The sequence below is a fragment of the Homo sapiens genome, chromosome 16, assembly GCF_000001405.40.
Source record: "Homo sapiens chromosome 16, GRCh38.p14 Primary Assembly".
Taxonomy (NCBI): domain Eukaryota; kingdom Metazoa; phylum Chordata; class Mammalia; order Primates; family Hominidae; genus Homo; species Homo sapiens.
The window spans coordinates 48310770-48327145 of NC_000016.10; the positions used below are offsets into that span (position 1 = coordinate 48310770).

General features: G+C 39.8%; 1 protein-coding gene across 7 annotated transcripts in view, besides 1 other annotated feature; it reads left to right on the forward strand.

Moving 5' to 3' along the window:
• Positions 1 to 16376, forward strand: part of LONP2 (lon peptidase 2, peroxisomal) — a 118704-nt gene that overhangs the window by 66470 nt on the left and 35858 nt on the right. The window lies entirely within an intron of this gene.
• Positions 8432 to 9054: an enhancer, noted in NCBI's record as "H3K27ac hESC enhancer chr16:48353112-48353734 (GRCh37/hg19 assembly coordinates)". NCBI's record gives its function as "activates a minimal SCP1, AML or CMV promoter by ChIP-STARR-seq in naive and primed H9 embryonic stem cells {active_cell/tissue: H9 hESC(naive and primed)}" and the evidence as "EXISTENCE:reporter gene assay evidence [ECO:0000049][PMID:30033119]".

The window sequence follows — 16376 nt, forward strand, 5'->3', positions numbered from 1 at the left end:
GAGTTTCATGTGTTTTTATGATAGAGTATCACCTTTTGTTCCCATGTTTAGAACTTCTTTAAATATTTCTCATAGGACCAATCAAGTGGTGATGAATTCCCTCATTTGCTTATCTGGGAAACACTTTATTTCTCCTTCATTTGTGAAGCTTACACTAGCAGGATACAAAATTCGAGTTTGACCATTTTCTTTAAGCACTTTGAAAATAGAATCCCCGTCTCTTCTGGCTTCTGAAGTTTCTGCTGAGAAGTCCACTGTTAGTTTGATGAAGTTTCCTGTATAAGTGACTAGACACTTTTACTGTATTTAGGGATTTTCCCTTCACATTGACCTTAGACAGCCTGATGACTAGATGCCATGGTGAGATCCTTCTCGCAATGTATTTGGCTGGAGTTTGTTGAGCGTCTTGTATCTGGATGTCTAGATCCTTTGCTAGACTAGGGAAGGTTTTCTCAATTATTTTCTCAAATAGGTTTTCTGAAATTTTTGCTTTTTCTTCTCCTCTAGGAATACCTATGATTCATAGGTTCCAATGTCTTATGTAATCCCTTACTTTTCAGAGGCTCTACTCATTTTTTAAAATTCTTTTTTCTTTTTTTTTTTTGTCTGACTGGATTAATTGAAAAAACCTATCTTAAAGTTCTGAGGTTCTTTCTTCTGCTTGGTCTAGTCTGTTGTTGAAGCTTTCAAATGTATTTTATAATTCCTTCAATGAATTTTTTATTTCCAGGAGTTCTGTTTGGTTTTCTTTTTAAAATACCTATCTCTTTGGTAAATTTCTCATTCATTTCCTGAACTGATTTTCTGACTTCTTTGTATTAGTTTTCAGATTTCTCTTGTATCTTGTTGAGCTACTTTTTTTCTTTTAATTTAATTTTATTTTGAAACAGGGTCTCGCTCTGTTGCCTTGTCTGGAGTGCAGTGATGCAGTCATAGCTCATTGTAAGCCCAAGCAGTCCTCTGCCTCACTGTCCTAAGTAGCTACAAATTCAGGCACATACCACCACACCTAGCTTATTTTTTTATTTTTTGTAGAGATGGAGGGTTATACTGTGTTGCCCAGGCTAGTCTTGAACTCCTGGCCTTAAGTGATCCTCCTTCCTCTTGCCTTGGCTTCCTAAACTATTGGGATTGCAGGCATGAGTCACTGTGCCCTGCCCCTGACAGCTTCTTCTTTTTTTTTTTTTCTGAGACAGAGTTTTACCCTGTCACCCAGGCTAGAGTGCAGTGGCACGATCTCGGCTCACTGCAGCCTCCACCTCCTGGGTTCAAGTGATTCTTGTGCCTCAGCCTCCTGAGTAGCTGGGATTACAAGCGTGCGTTACCATGCCTGGCTAATTTTTGTATTTTTTTAGTAGAGATGCGGTTTCACCTTGTTGGCCAGGCAGGTCTTGAACTCCTGGCCTCAAGTGATCCATCCACCTTGGCTTCCTAAAGTGCTAGGATTACAGGTGTGAGCCACTGTATCCAGCCCCTGATAGCTTCTCTAAATCAGTGTTTTGAATTCTTTATCTGGCATTTTGAAGATTTGTTTTTTAGTTAGGATCCATTGCTAGAGAATTACTGTGTTTCTCTGGGGGTGTCATAGCACCTTTTTTTTTTCATATTTCCAATATTACTGTGCTGATTCATTTGTATCTGGGATAACAGTTGCTTCTTATTATTTTTTAGTTTACTTTTGTTGGGGCAGGACTTTCTTTCCCTTGAGGATGTATCTATTATGTATGTTGAGTAGGGTCATTTGGCTTTGCTTCAGGGTGCATTCAGTGACATAGACACTGTATGATAGCCTTGGTTATAAAGTAGTCTTAGTATGGTGGCTTTCTCAAATGCCAGTGACAGTAGTAATGTACGGGGTGGGTGATTGGGCTCAAGGCCTCCTGCCTAGCTGGGGTGGATGATGGTGGCAGCAGAGGTCGTGCAAAACTTGCTTTCTTCCAAGGCACTATGCAGTTGTATCAATAGATGTTGTAATGGGTGGTGCAGGTTGACTTCCCAGCTAGGAGGTGGTGCCTGCAGATGAGCGTCAGCTGCAATAGTGGCAGTAGGGTGATTAACCTTTGTAATTCAAGAATTATTCAGGTATCTCAGGTACCGAGCTGGGCCGTGAAACTCTCAGGGGTCCTGGTCTTGTGCTGTGCTTCCAGGGTAGATTGTGGGGTGAAGCCAGGCAGGCTGGACCAGCCAAGCTCATGTTTGAGCCCCCTGAATGGGTACTTAGGGCCTGGGATAAAATTTCCAGAGGCTGCCTCATACATTGTTTCAAGAATTACTTTATCTTAGATAATCTTGGTATCTGGTAGTGTAAGTCTTCCAGCTTTGTTCTTCTTCAGAATTGGGTTGGCTATTGTAGGTCCTTCAAATATCCATGTAAATTTTAAAGTCAGTTTGTCATTTTCTACCAACAAGTAAATAAATAAAAACTCCTGGGGCATTTTTATTATGATTCCGTTGAATCTGTAAATCTAGTTGGGGAGAATTGACAATTTGTATTATCAAGTCTTCTAATTCATGACCAGCTTCATTTATTTAAGTCTTCTTACATAAGTTTTTTTTCTTCAGCTTTTAAGTTCCAGGGTACATGTGCAGGATGTACAAGTTTATTATGTAGGTAAACATGTGCCATGGTGGTTTGCTGCACAGATAATCCATCACCCAGGTATTAAGCCCAGCATCCATTAGCTATTCTTCCTGATGCTCTCCCTCCCCTCACTCCCACCCACAACAGGCCCCAGTGTGTATTTTTCCCTGCCATGTGTCCATGTGTTGTCATTGTTCAGCTCCCACTTATAAGTGAGAACATGCAGTGTTTGGTTTTCTGATCCTGCATTAGTTTGTTGAGGATAATGGCTTCTAGTTTCATCCATGTCCCTGCAGAGGACATGCTCTCGTTCCTTTTTATGGCTGCATAGTATTTCATGGTGTACATGTACCACATTTTCTTTATCCAGTCTGTCATTGATGCGCATTTGGGTTGATTCCATGTCTTTGCTATTGTGAATAGTGCTGCAATGAATATATATAAATCATTCTGTTTCTTTGGCTATATACCCAGTAGTGGGATTGCTGGATCAAATGGTATTTCTGCTTCTAGATCTTTGAGGAATCACCACACTGTCTTCCACAATGGTTGAACTAATTAAACTCCCACCAACAGTGTAAAAGCATTCCTTATTCTTCACAACCTCGCCAGCATCTGTTGTTTCTTGACTTTTTAATAATTGTCATTCTGACTGGCGTGAGATGGTATCTCATTGTAGTTTTTATTTGCATTTCTCTAATGATCAGTGATGTTGAGCTCTTTGTCCTATGTTTGTTGGCAACATAATGTCTTCTTTTGAGAAGTGTCTGTTCATGTCCCTTGCCCACTTTTTAATGGGGTTGTTTTTTTTTTTCCTTGTAAATTTGTGTTCCTGGTAGACTCTAGATACTAGACTTTTGTCGGGTGGATAGATTGAAAAATTCTTTTCCCATTCTGTAGGTTGTCTGTTCACTCTGATGATACTTTCTTTTGCTGTGCAGAAGCTCTTTAGTTTAATTAGATCCCATTTGTCAATTTTTGCTTTTGTTGCTATTGCTTTTGTCATTTTCTTCATGAAATCTTTGCCCGTGCCTATGTCCTGAATGGTATTGCCTAGATTTTTTTCTAAGGTTTTTATAGTTTTGGGTTTTACATTTAAGTCTTTAATTCATCTTGAGTTATTAAATAATTTTTGTATAAGGTGTAAGGAAGGGGTCCAGTTTCTGTTTTCTGCATATGGCTAGCCAGTTTTCCCAGCACCATTTATTAAATAGAGAATCCTTTCTTCATTGGTTACTAGTACAAAAACAGACACATAGACCAATAGAATAGAATGGAGAACTCAGAAATAAGACCACACATCTACAACCATCTGATCTTCTTAAATAAGTTTTTTAAGAGTTTTGATCATTTTCTGTGGCACACTTTTACATAATTTTTCTTTAGATATCTTCCTAGGTATTTGATCTTTATGTGTATATTATTGTAAATAACGTTCTTAAAATTTTGTTTTCTAATTTTTTGTTGGTAGTGTATGACAATGCAATATTGGCCTCCTGTTCAACAAACTTGCCACATTCACTTATTAATCATAATTGTTTGTGGAATCTTTTGGATTTTCTGCATCTACCATCCTGTAATCACAAATGCAGATGTCAGTTTTTACTTCTTCCTTTCCAACGTTATACCTTTTATTTAATTTCTTCCCTAATATGTTGTCTAGGACCTCCTGGGAAATGCTGAATAGAAATAATGATAATAGACAAAGTAAGCAGGATAAAAGCCTATGAAGAAATTACCAACTGACATAGGCTTTGCTTTGTAGCTTTAGGTCACCCCTCATCACCTAATATTATAAAATGACAATTCGGTAGGATTCTCAGAAACTGTCCAGTTTGACCCTGATTTAATTCTCAACATTCTCCAGTAAACACTATGCCTTGCCTGTTTGACTTTGTTAACAGACATGTCAGACAATCATGTGGTGAAGTGTGATTTTACTTGTTTATTCAACCTGAGATTTGCTGACAGTTCGTTCTGTGTTGCTGTAACAGAATACCACAGACTGGGTAATTTTAAATGAGCAGAAATGTATTGGTTCACAGTTCTGGAGGCTGAAGAGTCCAATGTCAAGGTGCCAGCTTCTGACAGGAACCTTCTTGCTGCATCTTCACATGGCAGAAGGGCAAAGAAAGAGAAGGGGGCCTGAACTCACTCTTTTATAAGGATATCAGTCTCACCCATAAGGGCAGAATCTTCAGGAACCTAAGAGCAACTTGTTACTTCATGGCCTACTGACCTCTTAAAAGTCTCACTACTTAATATTGTTACAATGGCAGTTAAATTTCAACATGAATTTTGAAGGGGACAAACATTTAAACCATAGCACTGACTTTCTTGAATTTGTATACTCTTTTATTGGTTTTGGAAAGATTTTGGCCATTATCTTTTCAAATATTCTTCCCATTTTTTTACTCTTCCTTCTGGGATTCTGAGAAGAGAGCCCTTCACTGTCTCTTATCCTCCTTTCTATTTTTTTTTTGTTTGTTAATTTTTCTCTCTCATTCAGTTTAGATATTTTCTGTTGCCCTGTATTCCAGTTTGTTATTGCTTTCTTCTATTTTTTTGTGGTCTGCTATTAAGCCTATGAAGTTCTTAATTACCATATTGTAATTTTTTTTTTTTTTTTTTTTTACTTTTAGAATGGCCACTGGATATTTTTTTTTTCTTTCTTTAAGACAGAGTCTCACTCTGTCACCCAGGCTAAAGTGCAGTGGCACGATTTTGGCTTACTGCAACCTTTGCCTCCTGGATTCAAGCGATTCTGATGTCTCAGCCTCCTGAGTAGCTGGGATTACAGGCGTGTACCACCATACCCAGCTAATTTTGTATTTTTAGTAGAGACGGGGTTTCACCGTGTTGGCCAGGCTGGTCTCGAACTCCTTACCTTAGGTGATCTGCCCTCCTCTGCCTGCCAAAGTGCAAAGTGCTGGGATTACAGGCATGAGCCACCGCGCCCAGCCCATTGGATTCTTTTTTTTTTTTTTTTTTTTTGAGACGGAGTCTCGCCCTGTTGCTCAGGCTGGCATGCAGTGGCGTGACCTTGGCTAACTGCAACCTTCACCTCCCAGGTTCAAGTGATTCTCTTGCTTCAGCCTCCCGAGTAGCTGGGATTACAGGCGCCCGCCACCACACCCGACCAATTTTTGTATTTTTAGTAGAGACGGGGTTTCACCATGTTGGCCAGGCTGGTCTTGAACTCCTGACCTCAAGTGATCCACCCACCTTGGCCTCCCAAAGTGCTGGGATTACAGGCATGGGCCACCACACCCGGCCAGGATTCTTTGTATATATATGGACTCCAATAGATTCTCCATTGATATTTTCTATCTTTTTATCTATTTAATCCCTCCTTTTCCCTATTTTCTTGGACATGCTAGTCATTATTTTGAAAATCTCTACCTTAACACTCCATTATCTGATTCAGTTATGTTTGGTGTTTGTTTTGTTTGTATTACCTTTTTTTCCCCCTTGATTTCTAGTTTTTTGTTCTGTTTTTTAGCATTTCTTGTATTTTTTTACTGGATGCCAGACATTGGATGAAAAATACAAGGGCTGTAACTATTATCCTCTGAAAAGTGTTACATTTTCTTCTGATTGGTAACTACAGTACCAACCTGTCACTCTGTCCTGTCAAGGCTGAGTTTTAGGCTTTGTCAGGACTCGTCAATTTCAGTTTGGGTCTTATTACTGGGATACAGTCTTTATTTTTATTATGTGGTACTCCCAGGATGTAGTTCTTATTCCTTCGTGGGTGACCCTTACTTCTAGAGCATGATCTTTCTGAGTTCTCACATGAAAATCCAATCAGGTCTTTAGCATCCTGGCTTCTCCTTTCTCCTGGGTTTCTAAAAGACTCACCCTGAATACATTCAACTTAGGAGTTAGTCAACAGCTTGAGGGGGATTTAAGTGCAGATTTTTGAGATCCTTCTTTTTGGTTTCTTCCTTTATTGGGATTTTGCCAATGAAGTCCCAGTTGCTTTGACAACCTCTAATTTTCAGAATTACTTTTGACTAAATGTTTTATGATTCTAAACATACCATCTACTCTGTCAATTCTGAATTATGGTGATACTCAATTCTACCTCAAATCCCAAAGAAAAGAGGGGGAAAAAACAACAAAACTAAGAAGAAACATTGCTTTTGTTTTGTAGCTTTAGGCTTCTACCTATATAATTGACTATTATAAAATCTCATTTGAGTAGGATCTTTAGTAGCCACCTACTTTGACTGTGATTTGATTTATAAATCCCTTCACAACATTCCTCAGTAAACACCATGCTTTGCCTGTTTGACTTGGTTAACAGACATGTCTTTATAAACTTGGCTATCCATTTTCCAGTCTGTAGGAAAAGAGAAGCTGTAAGTTGGAGAAAAGGCTAGTGGTTGGGTGGTGAGTCATAAGCAATAAGATTTGATGTCAGTGATGACAGGCCTGTCCTCTTATGATAGATTCCTTGAGCCCCCTGCTGACCACAAAGCTTTGGCTGGCTAGACCACAAGTCTGTCTCCCTCAATGACAATTTTTGTAGCTCAATATGGATCCTATTTTGTGTGAGTTGCATTTGGAGATTTGTTGTTTATCTGCTGTATTTGCCTTAGGTGGGACAGTGAAATCAACCTAATGTAGTGGAAGGAAGTAGGTATTACATCCTTAATTCCTTGATATACATCCTTTTATTATGTGGTACTCCCGGGATGTGGTTTTTCAGATTTGGAGAAGAATAGTTAAAAAAAAAAAATGCAGAAAGGATCAAAAGCACTTGATTCTCTCGCAGGGACAGCTTCCTGTTTTGGTTGAGGAAGGAGCTGCACTTAAAATAACTAGCATAAAGCATGCTTAGGGCTTGCTTTCCAGACAACCTCAATTTAAAATGCATCAAAAGCCAGGTGTGGTGGCTAACATCTGTAATCCCAGCACTTTGGGAGGCTGAAGAGGGCAGATCACTTGAGGTCAGGAGTTTGAGACCAGCCTGGCCAACATGGTGAAACCCCATCTCTTCTAAAAATACAAAAATTAGCTGGGCGTGGTGGCACACACCTGTAGTCCCAGCTACTTGGGAGGCTGAGATGGGAGGATCATTTGAACCTGGGAGGCGGGGATTGCAGTGAGCCGAGATCACACCACAGCACTCTAGCCTGGGCAACAGAGCAAGACTCTGCCTCAAAAAAAGAAAGAAAATAAAATTCATCAAAATAAAATATTTGAATTTTACAGCACTAGTTCTTTTCATTCATTGACTTTCATTCTCCCACTTTACCACACCTTTAACTATTGGCAAGAATGTGGTGAGTGGGAGAAAGGTATCCTGCCACGTAAGCAAGTATACCTAGAGCCAAGGGGTCAGAGTGTCACAGAGGAGAGCCACATGCTGATGGGCTTGTGTTCGTTCCCACTCACTGACTATGCAAGCGCCTCTTCTCTTAGCCTTTCTCAGGATGCAGTTCTCCAGGAGGAATCAGCCTTCTGTTGGGCTGCTTTCAGAGCTCTTTGTTGTGGCTTCCTGCCATTGACTTTGCAAGCCCTAAGCATGCTTTATGCTAGTTATTTTAAGTGCAGCTCCTTCCTCAACCAAAACAGGAAGCTGGCTCTGCAAGAGAATCAAGTGCTTTTGATCCTTTCAGCTTTTTTTTTTTTTGACTATTCTTCTCCAAATCTGAAACATATCCATTCTCGTCTACGGCCATGAGTGCATTTATGTTAACAGAAAATGCTAAATTTAATGTTTAGAAAGTAACCTCTGTGGCCAGACATGGTGACTAATGCCTGTAATCCTGGCACTTTGGGAGGCCGAGGCAGGCAGATCACTTGAGGCCAGGAGTTCGAGACCAGCCTGGCCAACACAGTGAAACCCTGTCTCTACTAAAAATAGAAAAAATTAGTTGGGCATGGTGGTGGGTGCCTGTAATCTCAGCTACTTGGGAGGGTGAGGCAGGAGAATCACTTGAGCCCAAGAGGTGGAGGTCGCAGTGAGCCAAAAATCAAGCCACTGCACTCTAGCCTGGATGACAGAGCAAGACTCTCTCAAAAAAAATAAAAAGTAACCTCTGTGCTTTGTGTAACTTTTTGCTAAATTCCTGTCTTTGTCTTCTTGGAACAGTCTTCTACTTGTTACAGGATCTTCCTATCTTTTGGATTTTATATTAGTTTTAATATAAAATTAATATAGTTTTATATTATATAGCCCACTGACATGGCTGTTAGCTGACCTCAGTTCCTTGCTGACTTGGCCAGAGCCTTCAGTTTCTTATCTCTGGTAAGAGGTAATGTGTCTCTCCCTAGGGCAAGGCTGTGACAGCTGGCTTCTCCCAGAGGGAATGATGTGTGAGAGAAGCAGGGAGAGTAAGAATCAAGACAAAACTGCAGTCTTTTATACCCATCACTATTGCCATATTCTCTTGGTCACACAGCCCAACCCTGGTATGATATGGGAGGCACTAACTCCATGGGGATGGGATATCTGGGCACCATCTTGAAGGCTAGCTGACACAGATTATTTTTTGTGCGTGTGCCTGTAAGAATTTTTTGGCCAGGCGTGGTGGCTCACGCCTTTAATCCCAGCACTTTGGGAGGGCGAGGTGGGTGGGTCACGAGGTCAGGAGTTCAAGACCAGCCTGGCCAAGATGGTGAAACCCCATCTCTACTGAAATACAAAAATTAGCCAGGCATGGTGGCAGGGGCCTGTAATCTCAACTACTCGGGAGGCTGAGGCAGGAGAATCGCTTGAACTTGGGGGGCGGAGGTTGCAGTGAGCCGAGATCACGCCACTGCACTCTAGCCTGGGCAGCAGAGTAAGACTCTGTCTCAAAAAAAAAAAAAAAAAAAAGAATTTTTCTAAGCCCGCATTGAAGTTTATACTGTAGAATATCCATCAAACTTGAGCTGATTTCTTATCAAAGACCCAGGTTGCACAGATAGGGGTTAGAAGTTTGGATTCGGTTTTGCATTTTCAGTATTTAAAGTCTTGTTTCATCTTGTTCATTCTTACCTTTCCTTTGATTGTATTAGTAGCTCAGGACAAATAAGAATTTATAATTTTCCAAGGAACTAAGGTTGCTGTTGAGGAATATGGGTTTCAGAGACAAGAGTTTAGGCACTGGCTCATTGGTACTAAGCTTCAGGGGTTTGTAGTGTTGTTAGAGCTAATTGGATTTTACAAATAAGCCAAGATTATTAAAAAAAAAAAATAGATCTAGAGAGTAACACTTTCTGTGCTAAATCCATTGCATTTGATGGGATACTAGGCAGTATGCTATGTCCAAACTTCTAAAATCAGGCGGTGGTCTAACGTTGAGGTGAAAATATCATGTTGGTATATACTGCCAATATCATGAAGATATACTAAATATTATTTTCTGAGTCTGACATTTACACTGATTTACTGATTTATCCCTCATCAATATTGGCCTGGTTTAAGAGAGACTTGTTTGCCTGTACAGACCGGGAGGAAGCTTCAATGAAGGCAAAAATCTAACTATAATAGGAGCCAAACATTTGTTATTTGAATTCCAATTGGGGACAGGAAAATAAAATATTATCAAATAATTATAAAGTCATCATTCTGTTAAATGAATCATATAGGAAAATGCATTGACCTTAAAACAGAGTCTGGCTCTGTTACCCGGACTGGAGTGGAGTGGCCTGGTTTCAACTTGCTGCAACCTCCACCTCACGGGCTTAAGCTGTCCTCCCACCTCAGTCCCTAGAGTAGCTGGGACCACAGGTTTTGCCATGTTGCTCAGGCTGTTCTCAAACTCCTGAGCTCAAGAAATCCACCTGTCTCAGCCTCCTGAAGTGCTGGGATTACAGGCGTGAGCCACCGCGCCCGGCCTGCAGTGACCTTTGGTTGTCATTGTTATACATTATCAAAACAAACTCAAGTTACAAGAGTATTAAAGCAATACTTAATGGTTTTAAAAAAAATATTACAAAAGGTCTCTGCATTTTAACTACTCATCTAAATAATTGTCTAGGAATATTTTCTGAATCTCTAATACAGGAAATGAGATTTATTAATACATAAAACCCACTGAAAACAGGGGTGCAAACTTTCTTGTCTGGTACTAAAGATGGATTCCTATGTTTTGGGCCCTTGTTTATACCAGTTTATTCAATCAGTGAGTCAGCTAGCATTTACTGAATAGTCATATGCGTTGCTTAATGATGGGGATAATGTTCTGAGAAGTGCATCCCTGGGAAATTTTGTCATTGTGGAAACATCATAGAGTGTACTTACACAAACCTAGATGGTATAGCTTTCTACACACCTAGGCTATATGGTATAGCCTGTTAATCCTAGGCTATAAACTTCTACAGCATGTGACTATACTGAATACTGTAGGCAATTATAACAGAGTGGTATTTGTATATCTAAACAACAGATGAACAATAAAGAAAAAATAAACAACAAATAAAAGCTGGTACTTCTGTATAAAGGCACTTACCATGAATGGAGTTGCAGGACTGGAAGTAGCTCTGCGTGAGTCAGCAAGTGAGTGGGAGTGAATGTGAAAGCCTAGGACATTACTGTGTATATACTACTATAGACTTATTAACACTGTACACTTAGCCTGTATTTTTTAATTTTTTTCTTTTTTTTTTTTTACTTCTTTTTCTTTTTTTGAGACAGGCTGTGTTGCTCAGGCTGGTCTTGAACTCTTGGGCTCAAGTGATCCTTCTACCTCATCCTCCTAAGTAGCTGGGATTACAGGTGTGTGCCACCACACCCAGCTTTTTAAAACTTTTCAAATCTTTTATAATAACACTCAGCTTAAAACACAAATACACTGTATAGCTATACAAAAAATATTTTTACCCCATTTATGCCTAGTGCTCCATTATTGGAACACTAAGCTTGTGGGAGTTATTTATATCCTACTGCTCAAGGTCATTGCCAAGGTCTGATTTTTCACAAAAAAAAATTCACAACTTCTGGCATAAATGGGTTAATATCCTTACTGTATATAAGCTTTTTTAAAAATTGTTTTACTTTTTAAACTTCTTTGTTAAAAGCAAAGACACAGACACACATTAGCCCAGTCCTGAACTAGGTCAGGATCTTCAGTTTCACTGTCTTCCACTTCCACATCTTGGCCCACTGGAAGGTCTTCAGAGGCAGTAACATGCATGGATAACAGTGCCTTCTACCTTCTGAAGGACCTGCCTGAGGCTGTTTTACAGTTAACTTCTTTTTTACAGAAGGGAGTACACTCTAAAATAATGATGAAAAGCATAGTATAGTCCAGGCACGATAGTGTGTGCCTGTAGTCCCAGCTACTCAGGAGGCTGAGGCAGGAAGATTGCTTGAACCCATGAGTTCAAGACCAGTCTGGGCAACATAGCGAGACTCCACCTCTAAAAATATATATAAGAATAAAAAATTTTTTTTAAATGAAGCATAGTAAGTACATAAACCAATAACATAGTCACTCACTATGACTATGAAGTATTATGTACTGTATGTAATTGTACGTGCTGTGCATTTATACAGCTGGCAGCACAATAGGTTTGTGTACACCAAGCATCACCACAAAGATTTGGGTAATGCATTCCATTGCCCTAACGGGGCTACAACATCACTAGGCAATAGGAATCTTTCAGGTCCGTTGTTGTCTTCTGGGACTTCTGTCATATATGTGGTCTGCCTTTGACCAAAATGTTGTTATGCAGTGCGTGACTATACCCACTATATGTTCAAGTTCTAAATTGGATTCTGGGAAGCTGATTAAAGAGAAAATAATGTGTAGTCTATTGGAAGAGGTAGATAAACAATTTTTAAGTGAAATAATTGCTAATTTTTAACCTCTGTGGAGGCACTGAACTGATCATTGAAAGCTCTATTTTACTTACTAAAGATATGGTAGCTTATAAAAATTACTTATAGTAAATGGACATGAAAAGGTCATTTGCTTACATCTCTAAATTCATTTTGATGGAAAAATAGTGGAAAAATGTTTGCAGATACCCTTTTGTTTGTTTGTTTTTTTCATAATAGATAATTGCCACTAAAATTGAAGAATGGCCAGGTCCGTTGGCTCATGCCTGTAATCCCAGCACTTTGGGAGGCCAAGGCGGGTGGATTACTTAAGCTCAGGAGTTCAAGATTAACCTGGCCAACATGGCAAAACCCCGTCTCTACTAAAAATACAAAAAATTAGCCAGGTGTGGTGGTGCACACGCCTGTTGTCCCAGCTACTTGGGTGACTGAGGCATGAGAATCACATGAGCCTGGGAGGCGGAGGTTGCAGTGAGCTGAGATTGTGCCACTGCACTCCAGCCTGGGCAACAGGTGAGACTCTGTCTCCAAAAAAAAAAAAAAACAACTAAAATTGAAAAATACCTCACAGTCATAACTTCCATCTGTATCTCAGTGGTTATTATGTAGAAATGTTCAGTAGGTAAACTTGAAAGAAAATGTATTTGGTAATCGTAAGGTTGTGTTGCCACCCCCAAAATAATGAAGAAAATACCAACAGAAAGAAAAAGGATTTATTGCTGGCCTGAAGGTTCTTCTGGGCATTTGATCTACAGATTTCTCCATTATAGCTAGTTCCTTTAAAAAAATAAAAAACATTGAAAATATGCAGACCCAAATGCCTTGGCAGCCCTGGTCAGTAACTTGAATCTCAGTTGCACTTAGCACAATTCCTCTGGCTGGGAAGATGTTGTTTTGGAAAAGATTAACCTGAAATGACAGCACGAATTATACAGTTGGAAATACTCAGGTTTTTCTGATTTTTTTCAAAAGATACTTTGCTTTTCCTTTTCTGCCTTACCATGGGAAGGTCCTTAGATGCATCATATCCTTGTCAGTTTAGCCTTGTGACACATATTTCTGCAATTTTGTGCAATAAGAAAGCCACTCGAAATCTCAGCATTTCATGTCACTTTTAAAGTAGGCTCAGTTAAAACAAAACCACTTGATTGTTTGTATAACCACAACCATATGTGTCTTTCTCTCCATGCTTAAACAAGGTCTGAAATCGTGTGTCAAACAGTTGAGATGTAAACATCTCCTCCTCACACATAACCCCTCTGCCATGTTGTTATTTATATCCCCAGTAACACACTTCTTGTCCCTGACACAAGTACAGCCGTCTCCACATTCCATTTTGCTCCTACTCCATCAGCTTGCAAGAAAAATTTTAATCATTCAAAAATAATTGTTACATAATTACTTTTCACTGATTAAAAATATTTGTTTACTTGACAAAATTAGCATTAAAAACAGTAATTCTTTGGCAGATTAATAAGTATTTTGATGATTTGTCATTTTTCACAGATGTTGATAAAATTTAAGAATTACATAGCCGAAATTTGGTCTAATTCAACAAACCACAATTGACTCTTTTGGTAAGGCCCTATGACGAATGGTATGGGAGAGTGGAGTTTATCCAATCTGACTTTCATTTTATTGATACGGAAACTGGGGCCCCATTTGTTCTTTTTTTTAATTGCTACATAATATACATATTTATGGGGTATAGTGTGATGTTTCAGTACATGTATACATTGTGTAAAAATCAAATCAGGCTGTTTAGCATATCTGTCACCTCATATATTTATCATTTCTTTGTGGTAAGTATATTTAAAATTCTCTATTCTAGCTATTTTGAAATATACAATACTGTTAACCATAGTCACTGTGCAATAGAACAGTGGTCCCCAACCTTTTTGGCACCAGGGACCAATTTCATGGGAGACAGTTTTTCCACGGACCTGTGGGGTGGTGGTTTCAGGATAAAACTCTTCCACCTCGGATCATCAGCATTAGATTCTCATAAGGAGCACCCACCCTACATCCCTCACATGCACAGTTCATAATTCACAATAGAGTTTGAGCTCCTATGAGAATCTAATGCCGCTGCTGATCTGACCGGAGGCGGTGCTCAGGCCGTAATGCTTGCCCACCCGCTGCTCACCTCCTCCTGACAGGCCATGGACTGGTACTGACCAGTCCACAGCCTAGGGTTTGGGGACCCCTGCAGTAGAACACCAGAACTTATTCCTCCTATTTATCTGCAATTTTGTACCCATTGACCAATCTCTCCCCATCCCCACTATCTCTCCCCTTGCCAGTCTCTTGTAACCACTGTTCTACTCTCTGTTTCTGTAAGATCAACTTCTTTAGATTCCACATATAAGTGAGATCATGCAGTATTTGTCTTTTGGTGCCTGGCTAATTTCACTTAATATAATGTCCTCCAGGTTCAACCATGTTGCCACATGTGACAGGATTTTATTCTTTTTGTGGCTGAATAATATTCCATTGTTTATATATGTCACATTTTCTTTATCCATTCATCCGTTGATGGATGCTTACGTTGATTCCATATATTAGCTATTGTGAATAGTGCTGCAACAAACATGGAAGTGCAGATACCCCTTTGACATATTCATTTCCTTTGGATAAATGCCCATTTGTGGGATTGCTGGATCATATGATAGTTCAACTTTTAGATTTTGAGAAACCTCCATACTGTTTTCCATAATGGCTGTACTAATTTACATTCCAGCCACCAGTGTGTAAGAGTTCTCCTTTCTCCACATCCACACCAACTACAGGTGGCTTTTCTAGACTGGACTTTAGGTTGGGACAAAAAGTGTCTTTGAGAGTCAGTAGTCCTAATACTGTCTGTGAATGCTGTGGACTTAGGCAGTTTGTTTAAGCTTGTTTAAACTGGGTCTCTCTTTCCTTAGATATAAATGGAGGGTTAGACTGGATCTTTAAGCTTCTGCCCAGCATTTAATGTTCTGTTTATTGTGGTTCTAGCCTGTGCTTCTTGAATTCCTGATTCTTCCTGAATTCTGCTAAGCATCAGAATGCAGTCTATACATTCTCAACAGCTTCCCAAAGACATGATATTAGTATAACAGAAACAGTAGTAGTCCTTTCTTGGAAAATTATCCCCATTTCTGGACCCTATTTTATTGCTGGCTGCAATTAACAGGTTCTTGTATGTCCCATCCTTCCCTCCTCCATCCCTAACCCACAGGCATTAAAAACCTGCTGTTTGTGAAAATGAACACTTCTTTGATAATCTGGAAGAAGGGGTTCCTGTTACCAGAAAATTTAGCTCTTGAACTCCTGGGACTGGGCTTGAAAGCATAGTACTATTATGCTTCAGATTAAGCAGGGTATAGAGAATAAGGAGTGATCACAAAAATTCTGTCTTGAATAAAGATGATGATAGATATCCCAGGGCCCTCTGTGGTTAGATAGTCTCCATTTCTACCACATTCTGAGGAATTGTGGGTGTTGCGCTTTTTATGTTTCTGGCCTCCCTGCTACTTGCCATTGGTTGGATCACTGGCCAAGAGCTACCGAGAACTACCATTTTGCTTCAAGATTTTTTCAAACAGCAAGGAACTTTTTTATTTTTTAACAGAGAGCTACTGAAGTTTCCTGAGTTATTACAACCCCCTTATCCTTCCTCCTTACTTCCCCTTTCAATAATTCCCTTTCCTCCCTCTTCCCACAGCAGTTCTTTGGCTATTGGGCCTGTTTTCATTGAAATCATCTTCCTGTGGCAGAGGGAAAATGAATAGAGAAGAACAGTTGACTGTGTCCAAGTGATAGCTGCTTGCTTAGGAAAAGCCTGGTCCTTCCCCAGAGGAGTCTGTCCCTATAGGACTTCCCTCCATAATAGCTGTGCTTCCATCAGCTCTAGAGGATGGCTTAGCCCCCTTCGGGGGTACACCGCATTTCACTCTCACTTGGCTCACAGCCATCACCACAGTCCATGCTGTGAGTGCATTGCTGGTTCTGCCCCCGTGCTGTGTGCATCTCTGC